This window comes from Homo sapiens, chromosome 12 (genome assembly GCF_000001405.40).
Source record: "Homo sapiens chromosome 12, GRCh38.p14 Primary Assembly".
Lineage (NCBI taxonomy): Eukaryota > Metazoa > Chordata > Mammalia > Primates > Hominidae > Homo > Homo sapiens.
Window position 1 is genome coordinate 5,972,766 of NC_000012.12, and position 13,304 is coordinate 5,986,069.

General features: G+C 45.5%; 1 protein-coding gene across 2 annotated transcripts in view; it reads right to left on the bottom strand.

Moving 5' to 3' along the window:
* Positions 1-13,304, bottom strand: part of VWF (von Willebrand factor) — a 175,794-nt gene that overhangs the window by 23,889 nt on the left and 138,601 nt on the right. For both annotated transcript variants that reach the window (NM_000552.5, XM_047429501.1), the window contains exons 39-43: positions 12,798-12,900; positions 12,280-12,354; positions 10,385-10,489; positions 9,021-9,226; positions 3,346-3,495 (exon numbers count right to left, since the gene is read on the bottom strand). In NM_000552.5, coding sequence (NP_000543.3) covers positions 3,346-3,495; positions 9,021-9,226; positions 10,385-10,489; positions 12,280-12,354; positions 12,798-12,900 — 639 coding nt within the window. The remainder of the gene's footprint in view (positions 1-3,345; positions 3,496-9,020; positions 9,227-10,384; positions 10,490-12,279; positions 12,355-12,797; positions 12,901-13,304) is intronic.

Consider the following 13,304-nt stretch of genomic DNA (forward strand, 5'->3'; position numbering starts at 1 on the left):
GTACTACGGAGGAGACAACAAATTAGGATGCCTCAATCTGTGTACACACCCTCCAAGATACAGCAGAACATTCAAAATGCCATTAAAGAAAAAAAACAAGGTCTCAGGGGGTCAGAAACAAAGACTCAAAGAACACAGAAGACAGTAATTAATACCTTTAGGGATCTGCTGTCATTCTCGTACGCCTCTCTAGAAGGCTGAATGATCGAGATTCGCATATTATTTTTGTTTCCTGTTGCCTCTCACCATGGGCAAACAGTGTCAATATTACGGATGGCTCCCAGGCCAGATGTCTGTTCCCACAGCCCCACTAGCTTCTCAAACCCAGACACTTTTAGCCATCCCTCCAAATTTCCATCTTTCTAAGATTCCCCTCCATACCCCACAGCAACCCTGTTTTCTGGCTGCACAACCAGGGTCCAACCTATATTTTTCAATTCTTTATTTTCCCTTCCTCCAACAAATTCCCTCGCTTATATCGACATTTGATATCTTGTATCAAAATACACATCCCAGGCCCTTCTCCTGGCTCTCTTCTCCACCCTGTTTTCATTGGTTTCCCAAATAAGAATGAAACTAAGTAGGTCTACTAGCCACCCAACCTGAAAACATATGCACTGAAAAATAAATTATGAATGTATCTAGCAGCACAATCCTTTAAGCACAATTGCTATAACTGAAATGGAGGTGGTAGATGCCAAGCTCTGGTCACTTGTCCCCTCTGAGGCAATCTGAGGAGCACAGTTTGAAAAGCTGACTTCCTGGGTCAGACTGGCCCTTGCAACACTGGAGTTGCGGGTTGTACCAGCCTAACAGGACGAGCTCTGGGCTCGGGTCAGGACCCTCCAGTGTCCACAGGCTTCATATAAGCTACAGAGGTTCTGGCCAACCCCATTCCCTGGGGTGGCCCTGTTTCCTGTCTGATACTGAGAAGAACAGCCCTCCCTCTTCTTCTTCCTGAGGAGTATCACAGAGTAAATAATATCTAATGGACTTCCTTTGGCTTCTCAGAATACAGTTCCTACACCTTGACTGAGCCTCATTCAGGAGCCTACGGGTGAGGAGTCAGATGGCCATCAGGCTTCATGGAAAATCCCCTCAAAGGCTTGTACAGAGGTGCAGGCCTCCTCTCACTATGGACATGGAAGCAAGGCCATCGCCTGAGGCCCGCTTAGAACATTCCTGAGAAGCCGCCAATGCCCCTGCTTGCCTGCCACCATTCCTCTGACACGAAGAGCAGAGAACTATGGAGGAGCTTGGGGAAAGTGTGTTTCTGCAGACTGTGGCTTCAGGGTGATGATGGTAGTGTTGTTCTTTCTTTTCTGTCACAACCTAGACAACACATGGACCGGCATATATGAGCCCAAGTGCCTCTGAGGTCGGACCAGAGCTAATAATGCTAACAATACTACCCTCTTTGCAGAATGAAGTCTGAGACCATCTGTAACTTACTTAAGCTCCCACCTCACTCAACACAGTACAGATCGAAGCCCAGCCTCCCACGTCCCCTGAGATTTTAAACCATGAGGCTCCCTTCTCCTCCCCAGAAGATGTGAACATTCAGCCTCTAAGACAGGGCACTCGATTCCCTAGAGCAATCACACGGTCAAGAGTTCTAGACATGGTTCCTCCTCCACTCCTGCCCTGACCTCCCTACTCATCTTCTTTTTGAAACTTCCCCCAGCTTTTCTACGCAGCCAGGATTATACCCCAGGACCTGCAGCTCCCCCAATAGTTGACTGGACCAGAGCATGAACTGGACAGCGGACCCGATCCAAGGGCTGAGCTGGGCCTGTCAACTTTCCTCTTGAGAAGTTGATCCATGAAACACAAAGACCAACTAAGTCAGACTGGACAGGGATGAACCACGGATCTGAAAAGCTGTGTGGAGTTGAAGTGAGATTTAACAAAGCTGTGTGTAAACAAAATGTGTGAGAAAGCAAAACTTCTGCACAGAGGAAGCTGGCCTGCAGTGAGGAGCTGGAGCAGACGGACAGAAATACCGGCTCTTAGGACAAATGGAGAGACATGCTGTAGGACCACGGTGCCCACCTACAAATCCTGCACTTCCTGTCTGAAAGATCCTCCTGTATCTTTTCTACAAATCCCCTTTTATTGTAGCTAGCCTGAATGGGTTCTATTCTTTGCAAGCAAAACTCCCCACTGAAACACGAAATATATTGGTTGTCAATTTTCTAAAAATGACCTCTAAGCAGCACTCTCTTTATTTGACAGCAAGTTATTTCCCTGGCCTCAGATGGCCTGTGAGAGGAGAAGAAAACCAAAGGGTTTCCAAAACTTAGTGTTTCCCACAGGAACACCTGGATACCACAGCGTCATCCTCTCCCAAAGGTACTGAGCACCTCCGCTCACTCTCAGTACCCAAATGCAAGTAGAATAGCAGGTGAAGGGCCTGGGTTTCGGGATTTGCCCTCAGGCCCTCCTCCGTCAAACCATTCACCTCGAAAACACCTTCAGGAACTCTGCCTTCACTGCCATTGACATTTGCAAAAGCAACCACAAGATGGATGTGCTCGCCTGCCCTGGCACCTCTTCTCTTAACATCATTATCTGCTGATAATAATGTAGTAATAATAATCGCATTAAACCAGCAAGCAGAATTTTACCCACAGTCCTCCCTGCAGATTGTTGCTCCCTTTTTCTCCAGTCTGATCCATCCTAAACATGCAAGAATAGGGCACCCCAGCACACACAGGAGCCTCAGGGGCAGCCACCACGAACTGGATTTGGGAAACAGGGATCATGTTTTCCGTACCTCAAGTTATAAACATGGTCTGAAAATCAACAGTCTATGTGGAAACACCAGAGTAAACTGAAACAAGGACGATCCTAGAAAATTCAGAGCATACATTTGTTCTAGGGACAGGCGAAGGTGATACATGAGGGTGGAAGAAAAAGGAAAACTTCAAGTTCTCTTTTCTAGGCATTTAGTCCTCCCCATGTCTCTGCTCAAACCTACTCCACCAGTACTTTAGACTTAAGGCCATACAACAGACGTGACCATTAGCCAAGGACTGAACTGCAGAAGGATGACGCAGAAATCCTTTGCTCATGCTTTTTCTTCTTACCCAGCCCTAACCCCCTCCCTCTTCCTCACCCCTAGCCTTGAACCAGAGGTCACTAAAGAACCTTTCTTGCCCTTCCTCGTGAACCCGGGAGGCAGAGCTTGCAGTGAGCCGAGATTGTGCCACTGCACTCCAGCCTGGGCGACAGAGCGAGTCTCCATTTCAAAAAAAAAAGAACCTTTCTTACCCTTCCTAAGATGCCCTCCTCTACTTTCCCGCTCTGATAGCTGCAGGCATGCCCAGCCCCTGCCCCACTCACCGACCGACAGCTGTCCTCACAGGGCTTCTGGGAGCACTGGGCCACGCGGAGGCCCATCACGGCATCCTCCATGTCGGTGCAGGTGCACACATCGCAGCCCTCCTCCCAGAACTGGCCCACAGGGTAGATGGTGCTTCGGTGGACACACACCTGTAGACATAAGTTTTCGTGAGTGAACTCATTTGTTTCATTGAAACAAGCGGTGAGTTAGCACCTACTACACAGAAGCCGCTCTAAGTGCTGAGAATGTGGCAATAAATAAAACCAAATGTGGTCTCCGCCCATATGCAGGGCTGCTTATAAAGCAGATTTCGTCCTCCTCCTTTCCCTGCCCACCAGCCTTAGAAAAGCTATGACCAGTCTCTCAGGGGTGGCCCCTCGTGAGGCCTTCATGGTCCCACAGACTTGAATACAACACACTGGCTGCCTTGGTCTCCCTTCTTCCTGCCTTAACTGCACTTCACTCCTTCCTATGTCACCGAGAAGCTGTACCCACATGCCCAGACCCAGTAATGTCCTTGGACTTGGAGCCCATCCTCATCGAGCCCTCTGCCCACTTACGAGCAAATTGGGCAGGGGCTATGAATGCATGTCCCCTTGCCCACGAGTGACTAGGAACATAACAAGTAAAGACTCTGGGACACAGAGCAGGGGATATGTTTGAGAGACAAGGGATCCTATTGGGAAGAACAATAGGCTCTGGTAGAGATGTGGGAAAACAGATGAAAAAGGCTGGTTGAAAGGGAAACGTGGAAAGTCTGGGATGCACGCCACAGACAATGCTCGGACATCCTTTTGTTGGAATGAGGAGCTAAGGAAGCTGTTTGATCACGGGACTTAATGACAGTTTTGAAATTAATCCCAAGTATGCCCTCCAAAGTTATGCAAAACGGGTCTCCACCCTGTGAATGTCATAATAGCAGTTCAAACATTTTGAAACCATTATCATTTATCTTCTCAGTCTTCTAGCTTCTGTATAATGAACTTATTGAATGAGACCCCTTGTTCTATTAAAAGGCCTGCAGGAAAATGTTACCATCCCTATGGAGAAGAATTGTTTAGCAATACTTAGCAAAAGTAAATGTGTATTTATAATTTGACCCAGAATCTCACTTCCAGGAATCTATCCCAAAGACACACTGGCAAGACCACAAAATGACAGATGCACACGGCTGTTTGTTACTGCAATTTGTAATAGCAAAAGGCTGAAGCAACTCAAATGTCCACCAATAAGGGACTTGTTGAAACAAAACTATGGTGCTGCCATGCAATGGAGTACTATGCAGCTATAAGAAAGAATAAGGCAGATCTCTACACACTGATACAGAATAATCTCCATCAAATATTGTTAAATGAGAAAGAACAATTTAAAATATAATTCATAATATGCTTCCTTTCTATGAGAAATGGGAAGAAATATACATGTATAAAATTCAGTTATATTTTCAAAAAGAGAAAAACTAATAAAAATTATAAAGGCTGGGCACGGTGGCTGATGTCTGTAATCTCAGCACTTTGGGAGGCTGAGGCGGGCAGATTGGTTGAGTTCAGAAGCTCCAGACCGGCATGGGTAACATGATGAAACCTTGTCTCTACAAAAACATACAAAAATTAGCCGGATGTGGTGGCATATGTCTGTAGTTCCAGCTACTCAGGAGGCTGAGGGGGAGGATCGTCTGAGCCTAGGGGGTGGAGGCTGAAGTTAGTTGAGGTCGCATAACTGCACTTGTGCCTGGGTGACAGAGCAAGACCCTATCTCTCTCTCTATATATATATATTATATATTATATATATTCACATATATAAATTATAGGGTGGAGGAAGGAATAAGGTAGAGAAAACACAGAGTAAGACTCCTGGGAATATGTCTTGTTTTATAATTTGGGGTTTAAAATCATTTAAGTGTTTTACACCATAGTAATTTTAAAATTTAAAAGAAATAAAAAGCAATCCCTAAAAATGGAAAACAAATTGAAATATTAACTAGATATCGTCAGTGGCACATAATTATTATTTATAATAATTATATGATATATTACATCATAATATAATTATAATAGTTATTTCAAATGACTTCAAAACCTAGTATTTACACAAATATCCCCCAATGAGGTTTTTTTTTTAGGACTAGAAGAACTGAAAGGAAATTTTATGTATTTATTTATTTTTTGAGACAAAGTCTCACTCTGTAGCCCAGGCCAGAGTGCAATGGCACAATCTCGGCTCACTGCAACCTCCACCTCCCGGATTCAAGTGATTCTCCTGCTTCAGCCTACAGAGTAGCTGGAATTACAGGTGCACACCACCACACCCAACTAATTTTTTGTATTTTTTAGTAGAGATGGGGTTTCACCATGTTGGCCAGCTGGTCTTGAACTCCCAACTTCAGGTAACCCGCCCACCTTGGCCTCCCAAAGTGCTAGGATTACAGGTTAGTTTTGAAACTATTACAGGTATATTGCAAGATAAAGCAAATAAGTAGTTAATTATGTTAGGAAACCAGAATTTTCAACTTAGAAGAGAAATGATACAAGCAAAAAATCAAGGAAGTAAAGTCCTGTAATTTCATTTGAATCAGAAATACCACTACAAATTTACGAGTTTTTATCCTCTCTTAAAATATGCATTTCTAAGCTCTGTTCACCAAAAAGGTCTGAAGGCAATGGCAACCCAGAGCCATAAATATTCTTGGCACCCAGATCATACCGCCTAAATACCACTTTCACTAAAAGGTAGGGGGACTTTTGTCAAAATGGCAGATCCAAGGACTAGGGCAGGAAATGCCCAGGGTGAGCCCAGCACGCCTTATTGTTTCAGAAAGCAAGAAAGCTACGAAAGACTCATGAGGCCATGCCAACAGGCTCCAGAGCCAACTTAAAAGAGCCCCCATTTACCCCAGGGAGGACAACTTGAATATCAAAAAAAAATAAAGTTTACAATGAATCAACACACATCAAACACATAAGAATCCATGAGTTCATAATGAAGCTAAAAACAAAAAACCTCTTTCGCTGTCCTTGACAGTTGCTAGAGCATCAACTCATGGCTATGAAAACTGGAAAAGAAAAAATCAAGCACTTATTCTACTTTGTCTAAAGTAATTTTATTTCAGGGTAACTGAAAGCAGTTGGGAGAAAGTTCTTTCTTACGGGAGAATTCCAGTTAATAAATGCAATCAGTATGATAGAAGTAGAGAAAAGTCACAATTTTGAAACTCCTAATGACATAATAAATCTTAGACAACAAACACTTATAAATAGTAAAACTATAAATTGTTGATGGGGTAAACTTCACAATGCAGAAATAGGTTGCTTCATCTGAACACATAATCAGTCCTATCTCTCAAAGTGGGATAGCTGGGCCAGGCATGGTGGCTGACGCCTGTAATCCCAGCACTTTGGGAGGTCGAGGCGGGTGGATCACAAGGTCAAGAGATTGAGACCATCCTGGCCAACATGGTGAAATCCCGTCTCTACTAATAATACAAAAATTAGCTGGGTGTGGTGGTGTGCGCCTGCAATCCCAGCTACTCAGGAGGCTGAGGCAAGAGAATCGCTTGAACCAGGGAGTACGAGGCTACAATCAGCCAAGATCGTGCCACTGCACTCCAACCTGGCCACAGAGCGACTCAAAAAAAAAAGAAAAACGAGGCCAGGCACGGTGGTTCATGCCAGTAATCCCAGCACCTTGGGAGGCAGAGGCGGGTGGATCACAAGGTCAGGAGATCGAGACCATCCTGGCTAACACAGTGAAACCGTGTCTCTACTAAAAATACAAAAAATTAGCCGGGCGTGGTGGCGGGCGCCTGTAGTCCCAGCTACTCGGGAGGCTGAGGTAGGAGAATGGTGTGAACCCGGGAGGTGGAGCTTGCAGTGAGCCGAGACTGCGCCACTGCACTCCAGCCTGGGCGACAGAGCGAGACTCCATCTCAAAAAAAAAAAAGAAGAACGAATGAAAAGAAAGAAAGAAAGAAAAGAAAGAAAGGAAGGAAGGAAGGAAGGAAGGAAGGAAGGAAGGAAGGAAGGAAGAAAGGAGTGAGGGAGGGAGTGAGGGAGGGAGGGAGGGAGGGAGGGAGGGAAGGAAGGAAGTGACGTAGGTAGGTAGGGAGGGAGGGAGGGAGGGAGGGAGGGAAGGAAGGAAGTGACGTAGGGAGGGAGGGAGGAGGACAGCTGGACATTATGTGCCTCTGGGTGTGATGCACATGGCACCCTTGATCAGGTATTCTTGCCTCCCTACTGCATTGACCTTGAATGTAATGAATCCCCTGGGTCTAACTTCTAGTCTACTGGAAATACAGGGGATAGAGGAACACATTATGCAATACCATAAGGTGGCTGCTAGTCAAATCCAGAATTCATGACATTCTACAGGACAAATGACCCAGCTTCCCCAACAAATCAAAGGCATAAAAATGGGGAGTGGCATTACTATAGATTAAAGACACACAAGAAACATTAATAGAAAAACAGCAAGGCAGGAGGGGTGGGCAGGAAGACGAGAAGGAGAACAGAGATATAAGAAAGCAGCAGCAGCAACTGTAGCCTCCTAGACTTGTTCCCGCTTCTCCAAAACTGCGTGCTTAGAATCCCTGAGCTGGAAGAGCGTCCAGAGGGGAAGAGAGGTCTTAAGCATTCCAGACAAATAAAGATCTGTTCCAGCCCTAACAGGCTCCAAGGAGAGATGACTGCAGCTTGTCTGTCATTCATGTCAGGACTCCCCTCAATGCAGCAGCTATAACTATGCTCAGGTCTTCCTGCTGCAGTTCTGGCTCATTTCAGTTCTCACTCCGCCACTTTCGCGCCCTTCACTTTCCCACTCCATCAATTAAATCTTTAATGATAGCTAATCTTGGTGGCTCTTTCACCTATAAGACTGCTGTTTGTAATGAAAATCTGTACCATTCGTTGACACTTTATTATATTCAGTTTATAGACTATTGTCATATATACTAACAAGGGCATACATAGGAACTTCATCTTAACATTTCTCCCATAGCACCTAGCACAGTGCCAATTCTGTTAGAACATAGTAGTTGCTTAGTAAATATTGGATGGGCAGATGGATGGATGAATGGATGGGTGGATAGATGGATAAACTGACAGCAATAAATAAATGAGTAAACTATTAACTGCTCGTAGCCAGGTGTGGTGGTGTGCACTTGTAATCTCACCTACTCGTGAGGCAGAGGTGGGAGGATCACTTGAGCCCAGGAGTCCAAGACCAGCCTAGGCAACATAGCAAGACCTCATCTCAACATGTATGTATAACTATTAACTGATCTCTAAATAATCCATGCAATCATGTTATTTCCTTAGCTAACCTAAAATAAGCTTATAAAGGTAAAGACCATGTCCTGCACATTATTTGTAACCTCAGCACCTAGCCATGCTTAGTACATAGTAGGCTCACAAGAAATGCCTCCTGAGTTAACTAAATTTCCACTCAGGCTGAGCTGGAATGCTGACTGCCCCCCAACCAAGCCTTGTAGCACTTGGTTTGGGCAAGAAGGGAATGCTGGGTAGGATGCAAATCTTCCATGAGGAGCACATGTTGCTTAGCAAATATTGGATGGGTAGGTGGATGGATGAATGGATGGGTGGATAGAAGGATAAACTGACAGCAATAAATAAATGAGTAAACTATTAACTGATAGTTAATAGCCAAGCAGTCCTTACCTTGTCGGGAAGGCAGGTGGTTGTGGTACAGCCACAGTCATTGGTGGCAGTTGAGGCCAAGTACCCAAGGGGACAGCTCACTGTGGAGTTGACACAGTTGCAGGCACACTCATACTCATCACAGCACTGGGTCTTCCGAAGGGTGGGCAAACGGTGCGGGGGGCAGGAGGGTGGGGACACTCTTTTGCACTCCTCCTTCCTGCAGGCTGAGGGTAGGACAAGGCCACACTGAGCACTGCGCCCAGCCAGGGCTCGTAAGTATTCAGCTATGCTATAGGGTGCCAGGGAGCTTTAGACTCAGAAGATTAAGTCAGAAATGTGTGAGGGCCAAGCTCACGGGCTGGGAGTTATTCAATGTTACCAAAAGCAGTCCATCTGCAGAAAAATATGAACATTAATCAAAAAGGGAAATGTGAAGCTAGGAACTCTAATGGAGGAGAAGTGAAGGCTGCTCAATCCCTGCTCTATCACTTTCCCACATACATCTGGAAGGGGCGGGTTCCTTCATTCTCAGAGGTGTCAGATGTAGAATCTCTAAGTCCAGTAGGTCTGGGTACACCACGCCCTGCTAAGCACTGTTCTATGCCAGGAGCTTCTGTGATCCTATCCCCACCTCAGTACCTAGAACAATACCCTACACTTTAGGTCCGCCAGCAATCAGTGTGGAATGAAAGATTGCCAGCAATCTTGTCAAAGCCACAATGTCACTTTTAAAAGACCAAATCCTGTCCCTGTGTCCTTTGCCTGTTTCCAGCTCCCTTCAAACACAATGTGCTCTCCTCCCACCTTGAAGTCTCACATCTAGGAAGTCGGGTGAGTGTCCACATCAGCAGGACAAGAACGCCAACGGAGTTAGAGTGGGGATTCTCGGGAGGTAAATACAGAATTTGGTTTCTTGTCGTGTCTTATTTTAGTCCATCGCTATGTTTAAGTTACAGTATATAGTGATTACATATATACACCTTCAGAGGCGAAAAACTATAAATTTGTTTGGGAATAAGATCCAATGATGAGGGGAAGTCAAGGAAACATTCCCTCCCCTTGATGACATACAGGAGGATGGGCAGAAATAAAGATTAGATTCGGAGGCCTCCTCATCTCAGCCCCAGCTGCTTCTTCATAAACCCAAGACGGAGGTGCCTGTGGCTGTGCCCACACCTGGTATCCTTCAGCAGCGTGCAGCCGGAAGGATTCCGTGCAGGTGTGACCCTAACCCCTCTGTTCCAGATGTACTCCCAACCCAGATTCAGCTAGGTAGAAAACAGGAAATGACGTGATCTTGGAAGAGGTCCCTGAGGAGGATGGCCTCCCTCACACCAGCAGAGAGAGGCCACACCACCCCTCCTCATCCACAGAGGCCTTACCGCAGGTGAAGTTGGGTCTGCACTCGCCAGGGTTGGTCAGTGTGGGCTGGAGGCCACGTTCACAGTGAGGCACTGGGGGCAGGTCACAGCTCACTGGGTCACACACTGAGGGCCAGAAAGAGAGACGTCCATGCAGAGTTCAGAAAGGTTACTCTTTTATTACCTGTGAGTGGGATGCTACATTCCTATTCATGCAGACTTCTACTGTTTTAGGTAAGTGATGATGATGGAGACAGAGATTACATGGGTTAGGATAGATAGATAGATAGATAGATAGATAGATAGAATGATAACTAGATACATGAGATAGATTTGATAGATAGATAGATACATACATACATACATACATACAGGATAGATAACTAGGTACATTAGATAGATAGATAGATAGATGGATGATAGATAGAGGATAGATGATAGATACACAGCTTAGAGAGAGATAGGATAGATGATAAAACATAGGGTAGATAGACAGATAGATATAGAATAGATGATAGATACATATGTTAGACAGAGATAGGATAGATGATAGATACATAGGTTAGATAGAGATAGGATAGATTATAAATAGATACACAGGTTAGATAGATTAGACAGACAGATAGATACATACATAGATATAGGATAGATAACTAGATACAATAGAGATAGATAGATAGATAGATAGATGATAGAGGATAGATGATAAATAGATATATAGCTTAGATAGAGATAGGATAGATGATAGATACATAGGATAGATAGAGACAGGATAGATGATAAATAGATACATAGGTTAGATAGAGATAGGACAGATGATAAATACATAGGATGGATGGATAGATGGATAGATAGATAGATAGATAGATAGATAGATAGATAGATAGATAGACAGACAGACAGACAGACAGATAGATCAATCCAAGTCACATACTGATTATTCTTATCATCCACTAGGGCTTTCACATCTCAGCCAAGTCAACTTGGATCCTCTAGACCTGTTTCTTCTTCTGGAAGGTGGGAACTCTACCTTATAGGATCAGTCTGAGGAGTTCACAAAATAATAAGGGCAAAGTGCCCGGCACATTGTAGGAGACTAGTAATGTCTATAAAATGAGGGGCTTGAAGTAAATGATCCCTCTAGTTCTCTCTACTGCTAACATTCTAAGACCTCCTTTACATTAATTGTTCTCAAGCCACATCTCCCTCCCCTACAGGACTTCTATTTATTTCTGATCAATTTCATGAGTACAAATAAGTTTCTCCGATTATATGATTTTCTTTTAGTTCCTTGGACTGTCCCCTGATCTATCTGCTCTCCCTTCAATATCTGCATCACTGCAAATTGTACAAGCCTGTGCTTTAGGTCTTCATCTGTACAAGCAATAAACACACTGGACAGGACTGGGACAAAGGCACTAATGATTTCCTGCCATGCTAACCGTAATTCCATCAGCTCTGAATTCACGGACTTATACCATTATTCAGCCCACTATTCACAGAGCAGCCTGCAAGGCTAGCATGAAAACCTCTAGCAAACAACCTGCTGAACTCAAGGTGCCCAGTGTGTGGTCTTCTCTATATCTAGCAGCCTCAAAATCTTATTGAAAATGAAAATGGGTTGCTTTGGCATGACCTTTTCTTCAGTATATCTCCATAGTCCCCAGTAATCACCCCATTCTTGTATTAATCCTGTCAAACCTGTGTTTAGTAATTTACAGTAGATTCTTCTAGGAAGCAAATCCTATTCTCCAGAGGTAACCCTTTCCACTTTTTTGGAGTATCCAGTCGGTCCTTACCCACCTCCTTTCACACACCCTGTGCCTGAGAACAGAGACACCTTTCAGCACCTTCAACGTGGTGCCCCCTGGGGCTAGGGTTGGGCCCTGGAGACATCCCCCTGGTGGGACACATACCACACTCATACTCGGGGCAGCACTGGTCTGCATTCTGGCGGAGGCGGGCTACTTCACACAGGCCACACGTGGGAGCTAGAGGAGAGGAACGGCCACAAAAGTCAGAGAAATTAGTGGTGGGACAGCCTCAGAGGGATTTGAAATGTTCTTGCTCACTGAAAACTAGTAGGAGTTCTGTACGGTCATCCCACAAGGATCCAGGCCACGGGACCTCTGACAGATGAGTGTCCCCATGTTCCTGTTGACACCCTCACATTTACCCTCCAGGGGACTCTTAAGTCTGACCGTTGCTGGGGACCAGAGGCGAGGGTTAATCTGAGAATGTCGACCCCAGGTGCAGAATGGGGCTCCCAGGCCCAGTGATGGGAAATGCAGGCTGGGCAAGGAAGCCCACCCACTCTAGGACTCTAGGTGCCAGTGTTTGAGTCTGCTCTGCCAGAGGTGAAGATGGGTGGCTGGGGGGCCTTGCAGGGGCCCTTGTTCCTCCATGAAGGCACCAGGGAGGGGAGGACTCTCACCTTTGGCCGTGGGGCAGGGCTGCGTTGTGCAGTTGACCTTCCGCCCGCTGAGGCATGTGCAGATCTGACAGGGCTGGTGGTCCGGGACCCAGGCTTCCAGGAACTGAGGGCAAAGCGAGGTTCAGAAAGGGCACAGGACATTCTAGGTACGAAGCCCAGAATTCACAGAGGTCAGCTCTCCCTGCCTCCGGCAAGGGCCAGTCCCTGACCCAGCCCTCTGACAGAGCCTCACAGGCAAACAAAAGCAGGCTGAAAGGAGGTTGTGAGGTTCTAATGGCTTTCAGAAAGGTGGTTGCCACATTGCTTTGTAAACTAACATGCGGAAATTTTCACTACAGCCTTCTCTGTTGGCAGTGCTAAAACCAAGCAAAGAAAGAAAAATGAGAGTTCTTGGATCGCACTGCTAGTCATTTCTCAAGCCAAAGGAGAAATTGGGTTGTTGCTTGGGGAAAAAAATCCATTTATTTCTGAAATTGACTTCAGACAATAGGGTAGGAAGAGCGGTGG